The sequence below is a fragment of the Homo sapiens genome, chromosome 6 (assembly GCF_000001405.40).
Source record: "Homo sapiens chromosome 6, GRCh38.p14 Primary Assembly".
Lineage (NCBI taxonomy): Eukaryota > Metazoa > Chordata > Mammalia > Primates > Hominidae > Homo > Homo sapiens.
Genome location: NC_000006.12, coordinates 51,713,489 through 51,737,149, shown reverse-complemented (window position 1 = coordinate 51,737,149; position 23,661 = coordinate 51,713,489). Strand labels below are relative to the sequence as shown.

General features: G+C 37.6%; 1 protein-coding gene across 17 annotated transcripts in view; it reads left to right on the top strand.

The window, feature by feature from the left end:
* The window catches only part of PKHD1 (PKHD1 ciliary IPT domain containing fibrocystin/polyductin), a 472,317-nt gene that overhangs the window by 350,466 nt on the left and 98,190 nt on the right, over nucleotides 1-23,661 (top strand). The window contains exon 61 of one of the 17 annotated variants that reach the window (NM_170724.3): nucleotides 15,130-16,301. The exons of the other annotated variants lie outside the window; for them this stretch is intronic. Within the exon in view, the coding sequence (NP_733842.2) occupies nucleotides 15,130-15,164 (35 nt within the window). The 3' untranslated portion in view covers nucleotides 15,165-16,301. Of the gene's footprint in view, nucleotides 1-15,129; nucleotides 16,302-23,661 lie in introns of those variants that run through there. 17 annotated transcript variants of the gene reach the window in all.

The window sequence follows — 23,661 nt, the reverse complement described above, 5'->3', positions numbered from 1 at the left end:
GTAGGGAACATTTTTCAAATTGTGTTACTTCTTGGACACTTCTCAAGAAAGAAAGTTATAAACCACTGTGGAGACCTTAAAAGTGACTGGCCTCAAATCAAAAATAAAAGATTAGGTTGATAAAAAAAAGAAAATAAAGCTGGCATTTGACTGTCAGCCCACTGAGTGATGAAGTGGTTTCTAACTGAATAATGGGGAAAGCTCAGGTATTGTGGTGACGTCTGCTCAGCTACTTAACAGAGAGTGGCTTGCAGTTTCTCAACTTTTTGTTGCTAGACCTTGAAATGTGTCTTTTCTTTAAGGTTTCTAGGCTTCTCTTTTTTCCCATTTATCCTGAGAATGACAGCAAGATGGTATTATAAAATGGGAGATTGGAGAGGGAGGGAGAAAATGAGAGGACAGAATGGAGAGAGGAAACGGTTAGAAAATTTGTCTGCCAATATCTGTGCTTGCAGAGGTCTTTTTCTTCTAGCTAGAGGGGAAAATACCATTCTCTTTTCCCAAGCAATTACAGGCCCCAAAGATTGAAGCTTGGTATATAGCTCTTTAATTTCAGCAGATATTTATGGTTAAACATTAGACTTTTAGGATTCCAGATGTCATGGTATTAAAATATAAAGGCACAGTGGAGTCTCAGAAAATATTAGACTCTTTGGGATTCGCAGCTGCAAGGGATTTTAATCCCAAGCAGGGGGGGATACGGCTTCTAGTGGTACATCGTTCAGACCCAAAGAGTACCTTTCCTTCACCTTATTTTGTCACTCCCTCATGACTTGCCTGGTCTCCAGGCAGTGAATGCCATAACAATATTTGATTACATTTCAAAGTAGTCCATGCTGTGAGTTGGAATGATTTTCATGTGTGATCTATAAAAGATGATATGAACAGGCATGTGATCTATGGGGACAATTTCCTTTTCCTTTCCTCAATCTAGACATGTTATTATTGTGATTGTCTTGCTCCTCAAATCTTCCATTAACAATAACAGCATCTAACACTTGCTGAGTGTCCACCATATTTCTGGCTCTGTGCTGTGACCTTTCAATGAGTTACCTCATTTAATGCCATCAACGGGTTCTACTCTAAGAGATAGTCCTGTTGCCTCCATTTTATAGGTGTGGGAACTGATGTAGACATTAGGTAAATTGTCCAAGTCCTAAAGCTAATTAACAAGGTTCAGATTGAACTGTGTTTTTATTTTTATTTTTTATTTTTAGAAACAAGGTCTCACTCTGTCGCCCAGGCCAGAGTGCAGTGGTACAATCATAGCTCACTACAACCTTCAACTCCTGGGCTCAAGTGATCCTCCCACCTCAGCCTTCCAAGTAGCTGTGACTACAGGCACATGTCACCACACCTGGCTAGTTTTTTTTAAAAAAAATTTTTCGTAGAGATGAGGTCTCACTATATTGGCCAGGCTGGTCTTGAACTCCTGGTCTCAAGCGATCCTCTTACCTTGGCCTCCCAAAGTGCTGCAATTATGGGCATGAGTCACCATGCCCAGCCCCGAACTGTGTTTTTAAGACTATGCTATACTACCCAGTACCCTCTATCCAAGTTTTCTCCTTCTTTCTTTATATTCTTCAGTGTTAACTGTTTTAGATCTGTCAGCTTTCATCGCATACAAAGCTCTGTCCACACAGAACAAACAAAACTGAGATTGTACAATTATTCTAGCAATTATCCAAACAAACTAGCAATAATAATAATTGCCATTATCTAGTGCATTCCATGTGCCAGGCATTATGCTAAATAGTTTATAAATACTCTCATTTATCCTTACAACAACCTTAACATGAAGGGATCGTTATACCCCTTCACATTTGGGAAAATAGAGGTTTGGAGAAGTTAACTAATTTTTCACAGTCCCACAGTTAGAATGTGCAGAACCAAGATTTAAATCTATATTTGTCTGACTCCAAAGCCAGAGTTCATAACCACTTCTGGATAATTATCATTGTGTGGTCTGAATCATCTGGTAGGACTCTATACAGAGATATATTTAACTGGATCATTCACATATTTTTACTTTACTTGGTAGCAAATAGATTTTTAGAGTTTAACAAGTAACTGTCGACTACTTTAACATTTTTGAAGGGCGATGCTATAACAACCACAAAAAAACTCATTTAGTTCCTCTTCTTCATACATAATATATATACAGCTATTCCTAAACATCCATGTGGCATTGGTTCTAGGACCCCTACAGATACCAAAATCCACAGATGCTCAAGTCTTATATTAAAAAGGTGTAGTGTTTGCATCTAATCTACATACATTCTCCTGTACACTTTAAATCGTGTGTCGATTACTTATAATACCTAATAAGATGGCTAACACATCACTTCGTTTGTGTGGATTCAACATAGTACTCGTCAGGTGGCAAAATCAAAATCAAGTGAAACTTCTGTTTGGAACTTTGTAGAGTTTTTTTTTTTCCTCCACATATTTTTGATCTGCAGTTTTTGATCTGATCAGCGGATTTTTGATCAAATCCACTGATGCAGAACTCAGGAATATGGAGGACCTTTGTGACTCTCCTTCACCCGTTGCTCAGCTCCATTACAGCCCCTCTCGTGGGTTACCGCCATCATTTTACAAGTCTGCTTTCTTACCAGACTGTGAGTGACTTCAAGGTAAATGTCTTTGAATTTCTAGTACAATTTATGGAACATAATATAGGCTTTGTTAATGTTTGCTGAATGAGGGAACAAATGTGAATAAGAAAGTCAAGAATTTAAGTTTAGTTTGCCAGTCAACTCTTCCACAAAGTAAATTTTATAGATTTAATTAATGCATAATTTGTTTTAGCATTTTCAAAGAATATTCCCCCATTTTCTAATTTCAGGAGATTGTAAAAAATGTGGTACATGGCCAAATAAATTTTGAAAACTCTGACTATTCCTATTTTGGAGACCACCATGTGTATTAAAATACTGAAGATTCTGATAAGTTCTGCAATTAAATTTTTAAAAACACTGTTTAATTTTGTGTTACCCGGTGTTTCCCAAGCTTTTTGACTAGAGAATACCTGTTCATACTACACATTAGGGTCCCTTGGAACTAGTGTACTTCAGAACACATTCTGGGAAATATTGCCTCATGTTAATCTATTAGTCTACAGGAATACATGCTACTTGGAAAGAAATGACAAGATTGTAGTGCCTTTGATTTGGATGGTCCCTTGAAGATCAATCAGCTTCACTTCACATGCATACGTGCCCTTTACCTTTCATTTTCCCAGGAAGTGGGAGTTCACACCCTTTTAAGGCTGCCTATATTATATTTTGAATAACTTGTTATTGTTAGGCTCTTCCTTCTATGACTTCTACCCAGTGACCTAGTTTGCCTTTTGGCATGACAGAGTATAAGTCTTTCCAGGTTTCATATAAGTCTTTCTGTATTACAGCATTTTACATATTCAAAGACAGTAAGACAATGATTTTATAATAAGCCAAATAAGACTTTTTCAAGCATAGGAATTCTAAATTCCTTCTATCAGCCAATATATGACATTTTTTTAGTTCTTCACTTTTTAGACTGGCTTATGTTTTTATTGTGGTAAAATACATATAATATAAAATTTACCATCTTAACCATTTTTTTTTTTTTTTGAGAGGGAGTCTCCCTCTGTCCTCAGGCTGGAGTGCAGTGGTGTGATCTCAGCTCACTGCAAGCTCCGCCTCCTGGGTTCACACCATTCTCCTGCCTCAGCCTCAGTAGCTGGGACTACAGGCTCCCACCACCACGCCCGGCTAATTTTTTGTATTTTTAGTAGAGACAGGGTTTCACTGTGTTAGCCAGGATGATCTAGGTCTCCTGACCTTGTGATCCGCCCATCTCGTTCTCCCAAAGTACTGGGATTACAGGTGTGAGTCACTGTGCCTGGCCCATCTTAACCATTTTTAAGTGTACAGTTCAGTGGTATTAAATACATTCATAGTATTGTGCAACCATCACTACCATACTTCTCCATAAGTCTTTTCAACTCTTAAAACTGAAACTCTAATGTCATTAAACAGTAACTTCCCATTCTTCCCTACCCCGTGTTCCTGAAAACCAACATTCCACTCTCTGGGTCTATGATTTTGACTACCCTTAAGTACCTCATATAAGTAGAATCATACAATACCTTTTGGTACTGGCTTATTTCTTTTAGCATAATGTTCTCAGGGTTCATCCATGTTGTAGCATATTATGGAATTTCATTCCATTGCATGAACTTACCACATTTTGCTTATCCATTCATCCACCCATGGACACCTGGAATGCTTCCATGTTTTAGCTATTGTAAATAATGCTACTATGAATATGGTATACAAATATCTCTTAGAGACTCTACTTTCAATTCTATTGGGTATAGATCCAGAAGTGAAATAGCAAGGTCATGTGATAGTTCTATTTTCAACCTTTTGTGGAACCATAATGTTGTTTCCCACAATAACTGTACCATTTTACATTCCCACCAACAGTACACAATGGTTTCTCCACATCCTTGTTGACACTTGAAATTTTCTACTTTGATAGTAACCATTTTAATGGGTGTGAGGTGATATGTCGTTGTAATTTTGATTTGCATTTCCCAAGTGATTAGTAGTGTTGAACATCTTTTCATGGAGTCATTGTTAATTTGAATATCTTTTTTGGAGAAATGTCTATTCAAGTCCCATATTAATTTTTGAATTGGGCTGTTTGGGTTTTTTTGTTATTGTTGAATCTTAGGAGTTGTGGTTTATGTTGTGGATATTAATCCTTTACTAGACATATGATTTGCAAATATTTCCCCCCATACTTCAGGTTTCCTTTTCACTCTGTTGATAGAGTTTTTTGATCCACAAATTTTTGATATTTTTATGAAGGACTGGCATATTTTTGATGATCTTCAGTTTTCAGTGATTTTTTTCTAAATCTAGGAATAAGAACTGAATATTAACCATCCAGAACAGTATTGTTCAAAAGAAATATAATGCACCAGTGTGACTTAGTATCTTAGCATCCAGGCTAAAAGCAGTAAAAAGAAACAGCTCAATATATTTAAAAATCATCATTTTAATATGTAATCAGTGTAGTTGAGATATTTTGCATTATGTTTCTTATACTATGTGTTTAAAATCTGTTGTGCTTTTTACTGTTATGCCATGTCAATTTATAAAGTGTTTTTATCAAAAGTATTTGATCTTTGCCTATATTTTATAAACTTTGCAACTGAAAAAGTAGAATCACATATAAACATTGTTTAAAATATACCTAAACATTTTCCAATAATTGTTATCAGTTTTACATTTTAAATTATAATTAATTAAAATTATACATAATTTGAAGCTTAGCTCCTTGGGTGCACTAGTCACATTTCAAAGACTAAATAGCTACATGTAGCTGCATTCATCATATGGATATTTTTCTTCCTTTGTTCTGAGGGATACACATTAAAGAGAATTGATTTTTTAAGCCATGTAGTAGACTCTATTTATCCCTGGTAAATTACCCTTTTATAAGTCAGTGGTCATCAGATGTAGCCTGGGTTCCTAGGATTAGAAATGAATCACAGAATTAGAAACCAATCTAGAGAGCACCTAATTGATCCTGGGCATATAATTCAGTCAATTAAAAAACAAAGCTTGTCTAGACTTGGATTACCTGCCATTTGCAGGAGGTATTATTTAAATACTCAAGCCTCCAACCAAAGCATCAAGATTTTCTGAGACTGAGAATTTTACTACTCAAGTTAACAATCCTTTATGAGAAATCTATTCACATTTCTCTGTTTTATTGTATGTTTGAAAAGCAGTAATATCAGTGTTCCACAAGAGGAGCTATTTTTGAATACCTATCTGTAAATGAAATTACTTGATTTTTTTGCCATAATAATAAACTGGCTCTGTATTTTCTATTTCTTTTTATTTTAGTTTATTTCTTTTTTCTCTTTTTTTCCCATATTATTTCAAGGACTTCATTGACTAGTAAGCTGTGTTCCTAGTCTTCAAGTTTTAATAATGGAGTAACCCTGCGTTGCTGCTTTAATCCTTTCAGTACAATAGTATTGAAAAATTTAACAAAAAGTATTAGCCAGGTGTGGTGGTGCACACCTATAATACCAGCTACTTGGGAGGCTGAGGTAAGAGGATCACCTGAGCCTGAGAGGTCAAGGCTGAAGTGAGCCATGATTATGCCACTGCACTCCAGCGTGGGTGACAGAGTGAGACCCTCTTCCCTCCCTTCAACCTCTCAAAAATTTAGAAGGTAGAATCTCAAACCTGAGCTTATTTTATGCCTAAGATGAATGGATGAATGTTTGTCTATTTTCAGTTTCATTATTTTTATATTTTCATGTGTATGCATATATGCACATTTTAATGGAAGGGAATACTTGAGCAGTCCCTCCAATAAATAAAATGCTTGTGCCTTGCCAATAGATACCAAACCAGCTCATAAATAAGTACTAAGCAAATTCTCATCTCAATATTATGGGTCTGAAAAATTCGCTTGTCTGGTTTACAGTTTTTTCTTTATGTATTTACATTTTCATGAGATGTAAAAAGTAATCTTAGTTTCTGACAATTGGAAGCATTCATTAAAAATATTCTAGAAATAAATATGTTGATGGAATAAACTTCTAAAAGTCGGAAATAGATTCAGATGCATTTGACAATTTAGTTTATAACAAAAATAGCATTTTAAATTATGGGAAAATAGAAATCATTCAAATAGCAACGTTGAGCCATTTGACTCATCATGTAGGGAGAAAAAACAATTCAGAAATTTTTATCTTTTTCTTTACAAAAATAAATTTTAAATGGATTAAAGATGGAAAACCCCATGGAATTACTAGAAAATATTGATGACGTTATTTAGAGTTACAGGGATACTTCTTTGCATGAATCAAAATCTAGAAAATACGTGGGTAGATTTAAAAATTTGAATATAAAAGAATTAAAACTTCTTAAAGAATATTAAAAGCAAAACTAAAAAACTAGAAATAAATTTGCAACTCATCTAGCAAAGGGCTAATTTCATCAATGTAAAAACAACTTACTAATATTTAAGAACAAAAAGGAACAAACCAACTGAAAAAATTTGCAAAGAATTCCAAGAAACATTTTACAGAGAAATGAAACAAATATCAATAAACATACAAAAAGCCAAAGTTTTCTCACAATCAAAGCACAGGTTAAGAGTTCTTGCACTGAGTCCAGCTGCTTGGATTGTGTCCACTAACCAGATGTGCAATTGTAAGCAAGTTGCTCATCTCCTTTATGCCTCAGTTTTTAAATTTAGGACTTGGAGATATTAATATTATGTACTCAAATGATTATTATAAGGATTAAAAAGATAAACCTAATAAAGATTTCCACCACTTCTAAGGCAATAATGACCACTGCTACTATAATTATTATTATTTTCCCAATCATATTTGCAATAATTAAAAAGTGTGATAATTTGCAGTGTTGGGGAAAATGTGGAGAAAGAGTTCTCAAACTTCGTTCTCAAATATCACTTTTCTTAGCTTTTTGTCATCTGGCTACCACCTAAAGCTCTGTACTTCTGACTTAGCAACTTCACTTTTAAGACATTATCCTAGAGATTTTTGTTGAATGAATAAATAAAACAGTAAAACAGAAAATGAAAAAGAAAATATATCATGCCTCTTACCCCTCTGCTATCTTGATCTTCAGCACTACTACTCAGAGGGAAAAACTAGAAGGTTGCCATTAAAAAAATGTGTATGTATAATTTAGTTTTTATAGTAAGAATAATGATAGTATAACTCATTTATATGGAAAACTAGAATCTTGAAACATGAGTTGGTTATTATGTAAAGTGTGTCAAGGAAAAGAACACCAAAGAAAAGAAATTTTCCTAGACCTAGAAGCCAATCTTTCTACTACAGAATTAAGGACTTCCAGTATGACTGAATTTCAATTTGATTAGCTTCCTCACAGGAGAAATATTAATAAAAACTGAATGTAAGTTCTTGAAAGTCATTGCCATGAAGGAAGGGAGTTGAAGCCATTTTTTAATATGGCTATGAATAATAATCTCTTCCCTTTTGGGTGATATTGGTAGGATGCAACCTTTCTTGGGCACTGCCCATGTGGAAACCAGCCTATCCATATCTGTAGGCTATATACTGTCTTTCTGTTTGAACACGTTACAGACAAAGGAAATCTTAGAGCTTTATAATTTTGTAGACAAAATGCATATAAAAAACTTGGCCCCAGGCCTGTCATAGGATAAGCACTAAATAACTTGACTATTCCATTCCATTGCCACCACTGCCACCACTTATCATGATCCTGGTTGGAATGGTGATGAACATTTGAGCATGACATCCTGGTTTTTGTACAAGTTTTCTATTGCTGCTATAACAAATTATTAACAATGTAGTGGCTTCAAACAACACCTAAGTATTATCTCACAGTTTTGTAGGTCAGAAGTCTGGTGAACTTGGCTATTTTCTCTGCTTCAGATCTCTGATGGCCAAAATTCAGGTAATGGCAGGATTGTGTTTCTTTCTGGAGTTTCTGGAGATGATTTCACCTTCAGTCTCACTCAGGTTCTTGGCCAGATTCAGTTCCATGTAGTTGTAGGACTGTGGTCGTGTAACCGGCCAAAGAGTCCGGCTGCTCACTGCTTATGAAAAGAAGTCAAAATAATAAGTTGTGATAAAAGGAAGCAAAATTGGTTTATTATCCATGCTAGCAGGGGAAGAGTAGAAAGCAATTCCACTCTTCAGTTCCCCTATTCAATTCCACAGAGGTTTTTAAAGGAAAGATTTGGAATGCAGAAGAAGTGTGGGGGCTGAGAGGTATAAGGTAGCGTGACTTGCTCCAGTGGCCCCTCTTGAACAGTTGTCCTATTTGGCAAAGGGGATGCTGCCATCGTAGACCCTGCCAGGTTATAAATTACTTTCAGTCAATTTTGTAGTCACTCATCATCTGGGAGTGGGTTCCATCTTTAAGCAATCTTTTGTTAGAGAGAGAATTCCAGAGGTGCCTTGTCACTATCAGGATCTGACTCCTAAAGTATATAAGGAAATATATGACCAGATAAGAAAGCATGGTGCGTGCTTGACAAGCATTTAGGTAAATAAATGTGCATAAGGCATGGGAGTATTGTATGGAGAAGGAAAAGGAATTGAGATTCACAGCACATACTGAGGCTGTATTTTAATATGAGAGGTTACATAGATGTGTTATAGGTTGTTAGACAGGCATAGAGTAGGGCAGAAGAGGGCTCTCCCCTACCCACTAGGAATGTTGAGTGATGGTTTGGCAATTATCACATTGCCTCCCTAAAAGTGACAGATTGGCAGATGGTGCCAGGAAGAGGCCATTTCCTGATGGGCCACACCTGTTGCACTGAAGTGTTAATTGAATGGAGACGCCAGGAAGAAGCAACTTCCTGGGCATATGCACTAAGAGACAAAAATGGCAGAGTTTGCCTTTCCAGGGGCACACCAGCAGCAAAGGGAAGAAAGCCTCAGATGGGCATGCATACAGTTTCCTTAACACACTGTGCATGCTCACCTCCCAAGGGTAAGGAGGGCACTGCATATGTGGGCAGACCACCCTAAGGGAAGAATCATGAGAAGGGGTTTAAAGACGCCAGAAGGGGGCCACCCTGTAAAGTCCTAGTATCACAGTTAACAGTGAAACACCACACTTGTTCTTCAAGTCACCCACTTGGATCTCTATCAAGCGTACTTTCCTTTCTCTCCTGTTCCAAAGCCTTTTAAAATATACTTCCTCACCTGCTCTGAAACTTGTCTCGGTCTCTTTTTCTGCCTTATATCCCTCTGTCAAGTTCTTTCATCTGAGGAGGCAGAAATTGAGGTTGCTGCGGACCCACACAGATTTACTGCTGGTAACTCGGATACCTTCCATCAGTAACATATGCAGTTTGTCTCAAAATTTTATCCCGAGACTGGAAGAGAAAAGAGGAAAAGGAAAATAAGAAAAAAAAGTTTAAAATGCAGTTTGAGGCTCAGCTGCTAAGCTGCTCAGTTATGGTTGCTGTGTCCTTGTTCACTGTAGGCCAGGCTTCATGCTCAACTTCTAGGGCTGCCTGCATTCCCTGACTTGCGGCTGTCTTCATCTTCAAAATCAGCAATAGCTAATTGTGTGCCTCTCATGCTTTGAATCTCTCCCGCCTTCTCCTTTACTACAACTCTCTAATTCTAGCCAGAGAAAGTTCTCTGCTTCTAAGGTTTATAGTCCAGGATAGTCTTCCTACTTTAAGATCTATACACTTAATAATATCTTCAAAGTCCCTTGCCATATTCACATAATCAGGATTAGGGCATAAGCATCCTAGGGAGGCTATTATTCAGCACACCATAGTTATTTGTAAGACCTTAGTCTTAGTTGAAATAAAAAAAGTAAGACATTGGAATACTGATGCCATCTCTGCAAGATTTTTTCTCTTTCAAGAAAGAAATTAGACCTTACTTACCACATTTTAGAGGTACTGTGGAAGTGTGGAGAATTCCATATCCACTCTGTAGGATAAACATCAGTTTTTGATTGAAAAATTATGAGGAAATGTTGACAGTTCATATGGGGCTGGCCCAGGAAGCTGGAGGGGGATGAAGCGGTAATGGGAACTTAGAGGGAACAGAGGTCAGTTCATGTGGGGTATACCAAGAGATGTAAAAGGATGGATAGGATGGCAGAAAAGAGGTGATTAAGACCAGTTCCTGCGGGGCCAGTATAGCCTGGTTTGTCTTTGACATTTTTGTCCCAAGTTGAAGCAAGAAAATTTTATTTTAATATGCACTTTATTTTACCATATGTATTTTAAGTATGATTGTTTACAATAAACTCTCTTTGATGTGTTTATTTACTACACAACTGCTTCAAAATACGGCCAGGATTGGCCTCATCCACCAATTGCCCCTGAGTTAATGGAACCGGAATTTAAGCATTAGAAACTCCTGTATGTCCAGTGCCTGATAATGTTTGGTGACATGAACGTGAACTTCTATAATAAAGAAAAGCAGCTCATTTACCCTGGATCTCTCAGACACATCTATGACCTACCCAAATAGCTGAGTTTGAGCTTGCAAAAGCTTAGATGAGGGAGCACTGCATTTTGCAGCAATTAATTTTGCAGAGGAAGCAGTGTGTTTAAAGATGCCTGCAGCACTCACTAAAATGGGGGTTGTTTTTCAAGGCCACCAGAGCTGCATTTGGCTAAGGCTGGCTCATCAACAAAACAACAATGCTAAAATATGGCCTCCTGGGTTTTGCAAAAGAAGGGACTAGAAGGGCAATGAATTATGCTCACCTTCTAGAACTGGGTGAAGACTGTAATTGTTTAGCCCCCTAGCACAACCCTGCAAGGGTTAAAATGACAGAGATATTAGTTTGTGATGGCTAAAATTGTTGGTTTGAAGCTCTCGGCAATACACAGACTGTTATTTACCAGACTTGGTCGATTTACTTCTTAATGCAATAATGACCTGTGAAATGAAACGTGAGCTAGACAATTGTTCCTCGTTGTTTCCAGTAAAACATCCTTTCATACCCCATTAAACCACCATTAATTCCATATGAAAGACAGTCATGCACAAGCACCCGATGGTCTCTTTCTTTCTTGGACTTTCTTGCTCCCATACTTCTGTTTCCTTTCCTTCTTCTTTGCATTTCCTCTTCTCTTTCTCTCCATTTTTCCAAATAAAATATGAACATAATAGGTTGCATGGTGAGAAATCCCTTTGAAGGACAGGCTGAAACACATCTCTTCCAAAACAGGGGCAAGGTTTCAATTTCTGAGCATCCACATGACTCTCTGTTTGCCTTGGACATGAAAATACCAACAGCAACAGAAAAGTTTTTCAAAACAAGGAGCAATTGTTCAGTCCTGTTTAAAAAAGATCCAGAGGCCTTATTCCAGATACGTAGGTTTTACATGGTCCCACACTGGGGATGCCAATCATGTCACACAGCTAGGCACCTTCACCAGCCTGGGGCGAGGGTCCTTCCCACTGCAGGGACACAGAGGGATCACAGGAACCCCCCTCTGTTTTCCAGCAGCCTGACTCATTTTGAACAGCTTCTCCTTATTTCTGGACCTACTTTAACTTTTTTATTACTAAAAGCTCCAACCAAGAAGATCTGAGCCACATGGCATAAAGGTGCATTTGTAGTAGTTCCTCTCTTTGACCCTTTTCTTCCTATAACCTCACAGCTAGGGGTTGTCCTAACTTCCTTCACTGCATGATTAAAATTTTTTGCTATCTAGTTCACCCCTTGCTGTTAGCATGGTCACTGCATCACTTTAATTTCTGTCTCTGTGATTGTATTGCCTTCTCGTTTACTGTAGTCAAATATCCCTAGGACTCCTTCTTATAAGGACACTTGTGATTACATTTACCAACTAGATAATCCATGATACACTCCTCACTCAAGATCCTTAACTTAATTATGTCTGCAAAGTCCCCTTTTCTATATAAGATAACATTCATAGATACTGATGTTTAGGACATGGCCATCTTAGGGTCATTATTCAGACTAACATACACAGTGATTCCAAGATTTCAAGATATAGATAGATTAGATAGATGGATAGATAGATAGATAGTAATAGTAGAGTGCAGAGATTTTTTCTTCCTCCTCTGAAGGCTCCAGTCTACTGAGGTGAGCTGACAATAAATAGATCAACAGGACAAACGGCATGCAAATTTATTAATGTGTGTAAGAGTGGGAGCCATAGAGAATATCAGATTCAAAGAAGGGCCAGATGATTATGGCTTAAATACCTTCTTTATAGGAAAGAGTGGTATGAGGGGCTATAGGCAGTTTAGAGGAGTAGTAAATGATTTCTAGGGGGAGTACGTGGTCTCAAAGACTAGATAATTGTTTGCAAATCACTCCCTTTGAACACTGAATGGGACCTAAGGACAAACAATAGTCTTTGGACAAGTTATAAGAAGGTGAGGGGAGAAAGTACACTGTGAACATAGGTTGTCTTATTATGCAGATACAGTCTCTCAGGTAATCTTTTGCAGCTGCCCTCAGAAGAATAGGTGAAAAGGTTTTGTGGGCATATGACAATTTTTAGTCTCTTCTCTGGTGGTTAATTTTTCCTGATTAGTTGATAAGATTCTTAGAAAGGGGATCTTAAGACAATTGCATTTCTTTTGGAAGAAGGTTTCTTCACTCAGATACCAGAGCAAATACCTTTCTACACTTGTTGGGGAGGTGGTAGAAATAAGAGAAGCTTAGAAAGTCCCTGGTTCTGAGGCAGTTTCTAAGGCTTTTCAATTTATTTTAATTCAAAAGTGCTCAGTATGCCAAAGCATCATACCATACTTTGGGGTACCATTCTATGTACCCAAACTCTCTCTCTGTCTTTCTCTCTTTCTGGAATTACATCTGGAAAGCCCAGACCTGGTGATTTAAGATGTTTTCTTTCGCCTTTCTCCTTTTGAGAGAGATGGAGAAAGAGGAAAGAAAATATCTTAAATCACTCTTGGTAACCCACACATAACTAGTCCAAAATAACATTTCACCATCAATTTTTATTTTAATCTTGTTTTCACTTCCTGTTTTGGAGTTAGTTGTGTTATCACACTTTGAAATTTTCAATAATTCATTTTCCCAGCTTTCTTAAAATTACTTTACTTACCATGAATTGTTCTTCAATAGTCAATAGTCTTATGGTATATACTCTGACATTGATCTGTGTGACAGTACCCAGGTAATTAGAAAGGCCAGATTCCCTACATTCCCAACTCCAAACAGGATCACGCATGTTGGGGAATGAATAGTGCAGGAGGTTGAGCACTAACAAGGTTTTCTCTGTTTGTGTTAAGGAGAAAGCTATTTAGACTGACCATATGTGTGCACTTGGAATCTGTTGAAAATGGGACTCATCACTACAGTCTTTCCTAGCTGTTTCCTGTATTTTCCATGTTGGAGCTGACATCACAGAGGTCCCAAGAGCAAAAGGACACCTTTAAGATCATATAGACTATCACATCAGATTCTGACACTTGGTCTTAGAGAAAAAACTGAGATGTGATTCTGAGCAGACTTTTATTCTCTTTTTCAAGACAATATCTTTTCTCCCTGTTTTAGGATGCCTTTCAATAAAAAATTAGCTAGAAAAGAAATGAGTAATTAGTGAAGTAAGTACATGATTAATGACTCATTTAAAACATGCCTAATTTGAAAACAAAAATGAAAACAAATGAGAATGACCCTTTATTGTTCAGAGCAGGCCTATTTCTGTGGTGGTTCCCTGTTGCAGGAGACTTTGCAGAGGTCCTGTGTTTTTTTCATGGGACGTCTTCTCCACCCTGAGAGGAAGTCAGTCTTTCTCTTCACATAACCTTGGAACTTACAGCTGATTCCATTCATTCATGTTACATTTTACTTAGAATGGTTAATTACATTAGCATGTGGCTTTCCCCAATTAGATTATATCCTCCTGGAGGGCAGGAAAGATTTATTATGTTAATTTTAGTTTAATTTAACCAATATATATTGATTATATATTACAATGTGGTAATAGTTACTACTATTCCAATAGCTCCCATTTACTGGGTGCCTCTTGCATGCCTGCATTGTGTTATATGCTTTACGGATCAGGTCTTTACAATAACTTGGAAAATAAGCCTCTGGTTAATCAATTCTAAATATGATGAAACCAATGCTCACAGAGTTTAGGGCCTTTGCTTTTTTATATCAAGTGATAAAGCCAGGCTTTGCATTCAAGTCCATCTGAATTCAGGGCCCATGCTTTTTCTTAATGTGCAAACTTTCGTTTATATAAGCTTTCTGGGGAGTTTAGACATAAGTGAGACGCAACCTTGAACCTCAAAGAAATAACAATTCAGTAAGAAGGAAAATCCAAGTAACCAACTGTAATATAAAGCAATGTAAGATAAGCACCTAGAAATGTATAATCTGTACTCTGAGAGCTCCAAGTTAGTGGGATTTTGGCAGAAGGAGAAAAGGACCCTCCACACTGAGGGCGGGCATGAGTAAAGAGCTCGGATATTACAAGGTGTGGGGTATTTTCATTTGGATGCAATGTGGAAAGCATGCCGAGAAGAAAAGAAGGGTGGAGACATATTTTTGGAGAGCCTTCAATGTCTGACTAAAGTACTTCTGTTTACTTCAGTAACCACTGAGCAGGCTTTGAAGATTTCAGAATAGAGGAGGAGCCTGCAGGAAGCTGAACTTTGAAAGATTAATGAGGCAGCAGGAAGCAGGGTGAAGAATGGGTTGGAGCATGGACCAAATGGAAAGACTTGTTAAGACACTGTTTCAATTGTTCAAATTGAGAAGAAATTGATTGAGGACTGGGAGGAGATTGATGGCAGCCAGAATGGAGAGGATGGTACAGATCAAAGAAATACAAAAGAGAGGAAATAGAGTTTGCTTACTCCTGACTTTGGGGACTGTGGAGAGGGTGTCAACAGTGACACCATTGTCCGTAGTCAGGATATCTTTGGGAATGGAAGTTCCAGTAGCAGATATGGGGGAGTAGGAAAGAAGAGGATGGTTGCTTAAGCTTTGCCTTTAGTGAGTTTGGGGTACCCACTATATGAGAGAGGAGCAATTCAGATATTAAATTGGTGGTGTTGAAATCTTTGGAATTAGAGCTTTGGAGATAAATTGCAGCTAGATATAAATTATCTGGAATAAAGTGATAGGTGAAATAATATGGTAGAGAAGCCTTATTTTATTTCTCTCTTCTTTACCAATTATATTGAGATATTATTATTATTGGCATATTAATATATTATTATTGGTATATTAATAATATAATAATATAGGTATATTATCAATAATATACTAATACTAATATACCAATAATAGTGGGTTATTGTTAATAATATTGGTAAAGAAAGAACATAAATGTAAGTTTATTACCAAGAATATTGGTGTGGTAAAGATAACCCATTTATGCTGGAGGTTGCAATTTTTTGAATTGCAAAATCAGACCTTGGCCATGACCTTAAGCAGTAGGATATAAATAACTCCCATGTGCCCAGTGTTCCATTATTGGAACAGTGTGCCATTCTTGTGCACTGATGGAGGAAATAGTTACAGATACAGTGTGATTTGAGGAATTGGTTCCCCCAGAGCCTTATTGACCCTCAAATACTTCCCTTACCCATGTTATCATTTCCTTTCTATCCTAAAATTGCTACCTTTGCTGCCAGATCTTTTCCTTCATAAAGTCAATGTGACATTTACTCATTTATTAACTCATTTCTTCAACAGATACTTATTGGGCATTTACTGTATGCCAAGTATTGTAATAAATGCTGTATGTACAAAATGACATAATCTCTGCCCTCATTTCTTATTAGGGAGAATCAACAAAAAGAGATAAATTGTATATATATACACACACACACACACACACACACACACACACACATATACATACACACACAAATGTATAATTATAAATAGGTAAATAGGTATATATGAATAATATCCTAAATATGATAAATGCTATATAATGAAAAAAAAATAGGAGTGCTATAAGTGCATCAAAATTTAGAATAGTGGTGGTGGGGACAATGTGAGTTGTCAAGGCAGGTGGCTCTTGGAAGTGCGTTTAAACTGAAACCAAAATTGAGTAAGAGTTGGCCAGAAAAAGCATGGAGGGAAACGCTTTCCACTTCCACTCACAGCTGAGTGAGCAGTCTGTGTGGAAACCCCAAGTAAGAAAGAGCCTGGGCACTGGAGGAAAGCAGGCTGTAGGGACTGAACAAGGGTGCCGTGCAAATGAGCAGCCTGAGATGAGGCTGGATATGTGGATGAGAGTTGGTTCCTGAGGAGCCCTGTGGGACATTTGAAGAAAATGAGATTTTCCTTTTTTCTTTGCAGAGGAGACTGATATAACTTACTTCTCATTTTTAAAACTCTGGAAGGTTTGCAAGAGTGGGTAAGAGAGAGCTGAATTAGCAGTTCTATCTCAGTGATCCATGGTGGTGATGTTGATTACTCTGGTAGCAGTGAAGATTTTGTTAATTTTCTGAAATTTTGAAAATATTTCACACAAGATAGAAAAGCATAATGGATAATAGAATTGATTTAGGATATTTTTTGCCATTTTGCAATGTGCCCCCTTTACCCTGCCTCCATGCACACACATCTGAAAGCTTTTTTAGTGGTTAGACTGCCAACTATGTGTAATTCATTGGTACCTATTAAAGTTAAAGCATTCTTAAAAATATGCATAGTAAAATCTCTTTTAAGACTTTCTTTTTCATTCACAAAAGATTTATGGAGACATGGCATATATGTCAGGAAATGTATTAGGTGCTGGGGCTAAAAAAATGTGAATAAAGAATGATCCTGTTTTTGAAGAGCTGCCAGACCTTGCTTTGTTTATAAATTTTGCCAACAGCATAATAAAGTTTTTGCTATTAGAAAGCAGTGCCATTTATTGTACAATATATAATATAATTTGTCAAATTATAGATTGGAAAATTAGTCATTGTATAAAGAGATAACATATTTGTAAGATAATTTACAACTTATAAAAACAGTAACACATTTGGGGTCTCATAAAACCTCTCCAAGTCAGTGTTTCTCAATGTGGGGAGAGGCTGTCAATGATTAATTTTGCTGCCAGGGGAAGTTTGGCAGTATTTGATGACATTTTTGTTTGTCCCAACTGGAGGGGTGCTACTGGCATGTAGTGGGTAGAGACCAGGAAGGCTGTAAAACATCCTACAATGCACAGTATAGCACCTTTCAACCGATAATCATCCAGTACAAAATGTCAATAGGCAAGGGTGAGAAACCCTGTACTAAGTGATTTCCTTTTTGACCATAAGAAGGATTGCCTACCTGAGGTGAGAGGATTGCTGGAGCCCAGGAGGTCAAGGCTGCAGTGAGCCGTGATTGTGCCACTGCACTCTAGCCTGAGCAACAGAGTGAGACCCTGTCTCAAGAAAAAAAAAATTGTCTTAAACATGATCTAACTCTTAATTTGGCACACTCTTTATTATACTACACTGCTTGTTTTAGAAGCTTTAATAGTTGATATTCAAACTAAATATATTTATATATGCACTTAAAATTGGCTGTTTCTTGTATATTTTCATGAAGCTGTCATGTTAATATATTAGTATCCAGACATCCTAGCCAGCTAGGATGTTGTTCCCAAGCCTGTGTGGACTATATTCTGAATTAAATAAAGCCATGAAATATCAAAACAGTTTAAGTACAAAAATATATAACCCCTGTGCCATATTATAGGTACTTAAATGATAATTTCTTACAACATAAATGTGAAATAAACTCTGAACGCATGATGATTGCTCTGGTATTTCCTTTTGTCTTGATGCAGTATACTTGCACATATGATCACATCAAATTGCATTATCAAATTTAAATGTCATTTCCATGCTTTTTTATTTGATTATATCTCCATTTATAGTTATTCCATTTTATGTGAAAGAAACTGGAAATATCATAAATCACTTTCATTGAGACCATCTCTATTTATCTATAGATCAGATAACAAATAGTACAAGTTATTTAATGAATGTGACATAGTATAGTGGTATAATCTCTCTGTGCCCAACTTCAGATCTCATCAGTAATATCCTGATTGCTTAAACTTGAAGTAGATACAATGAAAAGGAATTCTAAATATTTCTATGTACCCTTTAGAAATTATACCTCCTACGCAATAGTGACAACTCACATTTATAGGCTGTGACAGTATTTTGTGATTTAGTTGAAACGTAAGACACATTTTCCACATTTTCTTTTCCCAGGAGAAATAATCATGATAGAATAAGTGTGCTTAAGGTTTCTAGGACACAGGAGAACGCCACCCCTCATTGGGATAATGTGGCAAATTGGACACAGTGAAAGAGCAGTCAGAGAGAGAAAGTAAGACTGGCTTGTAGGCCTAGTAAACCGTGGTCCACAGGGCATGATTTGAAGGGATAAGGGAAGTGCTTTTTCCCCTGCAATGTCTAATCAGCTCACCTGCCCTCAGGCCTTAAGTTCCAACAGAAAAGATTGATCCATTACGTATATTAAAAAATTGTTTTGTCTTGAGCAGACCATTATGAAAATGTCAGTGATCTGAGATGAAGCAAAAGTTGTTAACCATTAGAATAAAACCATTTAGCAAGGCTTCCTTAGCCAAAGGTGTCTATGCTGGAATACTGTGTTGAGAGAAAGGCCTTTTGGAAATGAGACTCAAGTGGAAGATACTTGTGATGAGGGTCAAGGCAAAACAAGGTCTTCTTGGCTTGGCCTTTGCCTACGTCACTGGCTTTATTTTTTAAGAGATCCATCTTTTTGAACTCAGGCTACCTTCTTCTCTAACACTATTTCATACCTTCATGCCTGTGTCCCTTCCACTCTCTTCCCAGTGTCTCCTTCCTTTCCCTGCCTATTGACGGATTGCTTACTCAAAATACAGTCATATGTTGCTTAACAATGGTGATATGTTCTGAGGAGTGTGTCATTAGATTATTTAATCATTGTGTTAGCATCATACAGTGTACTTAGGCAAACCTAGATGGTGCAGCCTGCTCCAAACCTGGGCTATATGGCATAGCTATTGCTCCTGGGTTACAAACCTGCACCACAGCATATTACTGTACTGAATACTGTAGGCAACTATAACACAATGATATTTGTTTATCTAAACATAGAACACAGTAAATATAGTATTATAAAATTACAGTATTTTAATCTTTTGGGACCATCATCATATATGCAGTCCATTTTTTTTTTTTTTGAGACAGAGTTTTGCTCTCGACCCCCAGACTGGAATGCAGTGGCATGATCTCAGCTCACTGCAATCTCTGCCTCCTGGGTTCAAGAAATCCTTCTCCCTCAGCCTCCTGAGTAGCTGGGATTACAGGCACACACCACCATGCCCAGCTAATTTTTGTTTTTTTAGTAAAGACAGGGTTTTGCCATGTTGGCCAGGCTGTTCTCGAACTCTTGACCTCAAGTGATCCGCCTGCCTTGGCCTCCCAAAATGTTGGGATTACAGGCGTGAGCCATTGGAGTCCATTGTTGACTGGAATGTCGTAATGTAGTTAGTGACTGCATTAATCAGGACAAGGAAGAGAGTCACAACTCTAAGAACCTTAAGCAACACATAAGTATTTGGCTTGTGCCTCTGGGAAGGATAGTGCAACACCTAACACAGTTGAAGAAGGAGCTGGAAGAACCATGGCCTTGGACTACCAGGATTAGTGTCAAGGGTTCAATGCTATTTGCCCTCTCTCTTTTTCTTTTCTGCTTGCCTCTGCTCCTTATGACTCTTGGCCTTATTTCCTTCTGCTGTCAAAGGGCTTATCCTACATGTGGTTGGAGGGGGGTGATGGTACTGCCTCAGTAAACCCAGTTTAGTCATCTCAGGTGACAAAGAATTTTTTTCTCCTGATGTCTATATATCAGGCCCAGGGAAATACTGATAAATTCTCTTTGGCTGTTACACCCACTTCAGGACCAATCCCTGAGTCCAATGGAATAAGGGAATATGACTGGCTGGAACTCAGTTATACATATACTCTTGTGGCCAGAGGTCAGGATCCATAACCAGAAGAAAGGGGAGCAAAGACATGTGGGGCAGCCAAGCAGTGGCTACACAACACGCAGGACTCTAATCAGCACTTAAGGCCCACTAAGGGAGGGACTCTATGAAGCCTTTTGTGACCCTGAAGTGAGAATGGGCACCCCTTCTTGGTGCCTCTGCCTATTAATGAACCTAAACCATTGTATTACATTTGTGTATTTACAATTTTGAAAGCTTTTTAAAGTTGATAATGCTTTTGTAATATTTTCAGATAATTGATTTATGTCCCCTTAGCTCCTCCACCTAGATCAAGAGTGTGCTAATGACTCATATGAAGGCTGGGGTTAAGCTAAATGAATATTATTTTAATTTCACATCTCTCTTTTATTAGTACATCTAGGCAAAGCCAGCCTTATTCACAGAACATTCTAGCTTTTGGTCTTCTCTTGGCCTTATTATACAAAAATACTTCAAACACTACAAGTACAATTTTCTTTCAACAAATGAGACCAAAAGAACTGCAGAAATAATCTGTTTTAGCAAATGTGCCTTTAGTAACTTTTTAAATTTTTTTAAAATTGATTTTGAAGAATTCCACTTTTTAATAGTATAATGAACACCCACATAGCCAGTATCCATCTCTAGAAGTAAAACTTTCCCAACTTCTGAAGACAGTTTGGACTTCTGGACTCTGGGCTTCCGGACTCCATTTGAATTTCCTTCCCTGTCCTTTCTCAGATATAACTGTCTTGAATTTGCTGTTTCTCATTCCTATGCATTTCTTCTTATTTTTCTTCTTTGTTAAGCCTGGTTACAAAAACATGAACAAACAGCTCCTCTGTGTAGATGAGTATCAGTGTCGGTGACATTCCTCACCCTAATCTGTGTTTAAATGTCTCTTTCTAGTAGGTGCTACATTTCTTCCCATGTCCTCCCAAGTGGTGGGCACTGACTCTGTTAATGTTGTTGAGTAAATGACATGAAGATACAAAAAGACAAAGCAGAAATGTGCTCAAAAAGACCAAAACCCATTTCCCAATTTTGTTCAGGGACATGGAAAGGCTCTAGTGTGTGTTTCATGGTCTTCATCAGACCAGGTTGTTCTCAATACTTTGCTAATAAAATAGCCTTTAATTTTAATTCTAGGCATACTAGGTATCTGGAAGAATATACATGAGTGATAAATCAAAATTGCGGTGGCCTTTGACAGTGGTTCAATTTTGAATTCCTGCTTTCTCTGCATGTTAGAAGGAATTTATATTTTGAATTTTTCCTGCTTTTCAGGAAGAAGCATAATGAAGGAGGGGAGTTGGGAATACCTGACTTTCCCAGTTACTGGCTCTGTAAACTTGGGCAAGTTCATTTATGCTCCCTGAGTCCATTTCCTCATTGGAAAAATGGGCATGATAATAACTGTTCTGCCTAGTTTTGGAAGTTGCTTTCAGAAAAAAAAGAGAGACAATTCCTAAACTAGGAAAGACCACAAGTATAAAGGAGACTAGCTTTGGTAGAGGCTCTTCTGTGTTCCGTCATGGGGTTAGGAAGGATGGAGATGGTTACTCTGCCGGAGTGGACTTTTTTTAGACTTAAGGCTCAATCTTAATAATTCTAATTAATTATTTCCAATATTTTATTGGAATTTGTGAAAATTCCAATAAAATATTGGAAATAATTGTGAAAATGGTCTTGTATTCATGTGTTCAGACATATTCCTAGCCAGAACTCAGATGCTAAAACTTTACTTACTATGTAACAGATTGGTAAATGTGATTTTTTTCCTCTGGTATTGAAACTTCAACAGAGGGCCCAAGATCTGAGAAGATCTGGGAACAAAAAAATAGATAACAAAACATTCACCTTCTGAAGTGAGGTTCCAGAGTTCTGGCTCTGCCTGTGTATCTTTTTACAGTGATGGAACGTTCTATATTGGTTCTATCCAATATGGTAGCCTGCTAGCCACAGGTAGGTATTGAGCATGTGAAATAGGACTAATGAGATCGAGGAACTGAATCATTTATTTTATTTTTATTAAAATTTAAATTTACATAGCCATATACGGTAAGTGGCTACTGTGTTGGACAGTGTAAACTAAGACCACTTATAATGATCTTGCAAAGGAAGTGGTTAAAACTTAGTGTGGCTTCTGCTCATCTGGCCCGTCATGCACTTCCATGGTATGTAAGAAAGGTGAGTGTTCATTGGAAGGTAGAAGAGGACTGTTATGAGAATCATCTGTAGACAATTTTTTTTTTTTGAAATGGAGTCTCACTCTGTCACCCAGGCTAGAGTGCAATGGCACGATCTCAGCTCACTGCAACCTTCGCCTCCTGGGTTCAAGCAACTCTCCTGCCTCAGCCTCCCGAGTAGGTGGAACTACTGGCGTGTGCCACCACACCTGGCTAATTTTTGTATTTTTCATAGAGATGGGGTTTCACTATATTGGCCAGGCTGGTCTCGAACTCCTGATCTCGTGATTCGCCCACCTCGGCCTCCCAAAGTGCTGGGATTACAGGCCTGAGCCACTGTTCCTGGCCAATTTTTTTTTCTCAATGTGTTATGAATTCTTCATCTCTTCTATGATGAGGAAGAGCATAGTGCTTGCCCTCATATCTCACACCAATGAATTTTTCTTTAAAGCACCACTAAGGAGTTTACAGATAGACAGGAATTGTCTGATGCAATTCCTGAAGAAGAAGAGTCTACAGGTGAGAGACTAGTTGTGCTAAAGAGGGTTCCACTTTGCTCAGCTTTCTGAGCAAAGATACCTGGCCAACTGTAGACCAGATATGTGTCTGTTAGGGGAGTGTATCATGGCTCATTTTAACAGAGACCCATACAAGAGGAGTGAGGTGACCTCAAGTGCAGGGTTGAACTTGGACACTAGAGTCTACCAGAGAAATCTTAAATAGCCAGAAGGAACAGGTATTGTCCATGCCAGGCAAGCAGCTGCATATCTTGAGTGTAAATCTCTGCAGAACCTGCAGAAGGGCCTGACTCCAAAAGGAGTCAGTTTCAGATATCTGCAAAACTCACAAAAAATCAAAGCTAGATATAAATCTGCAAAAATCAAAGCTAGATTATCAATGTTCTTACTCACGGCAGATCTTTTCTGTCTTACATTGCCCTTCCCTCTCT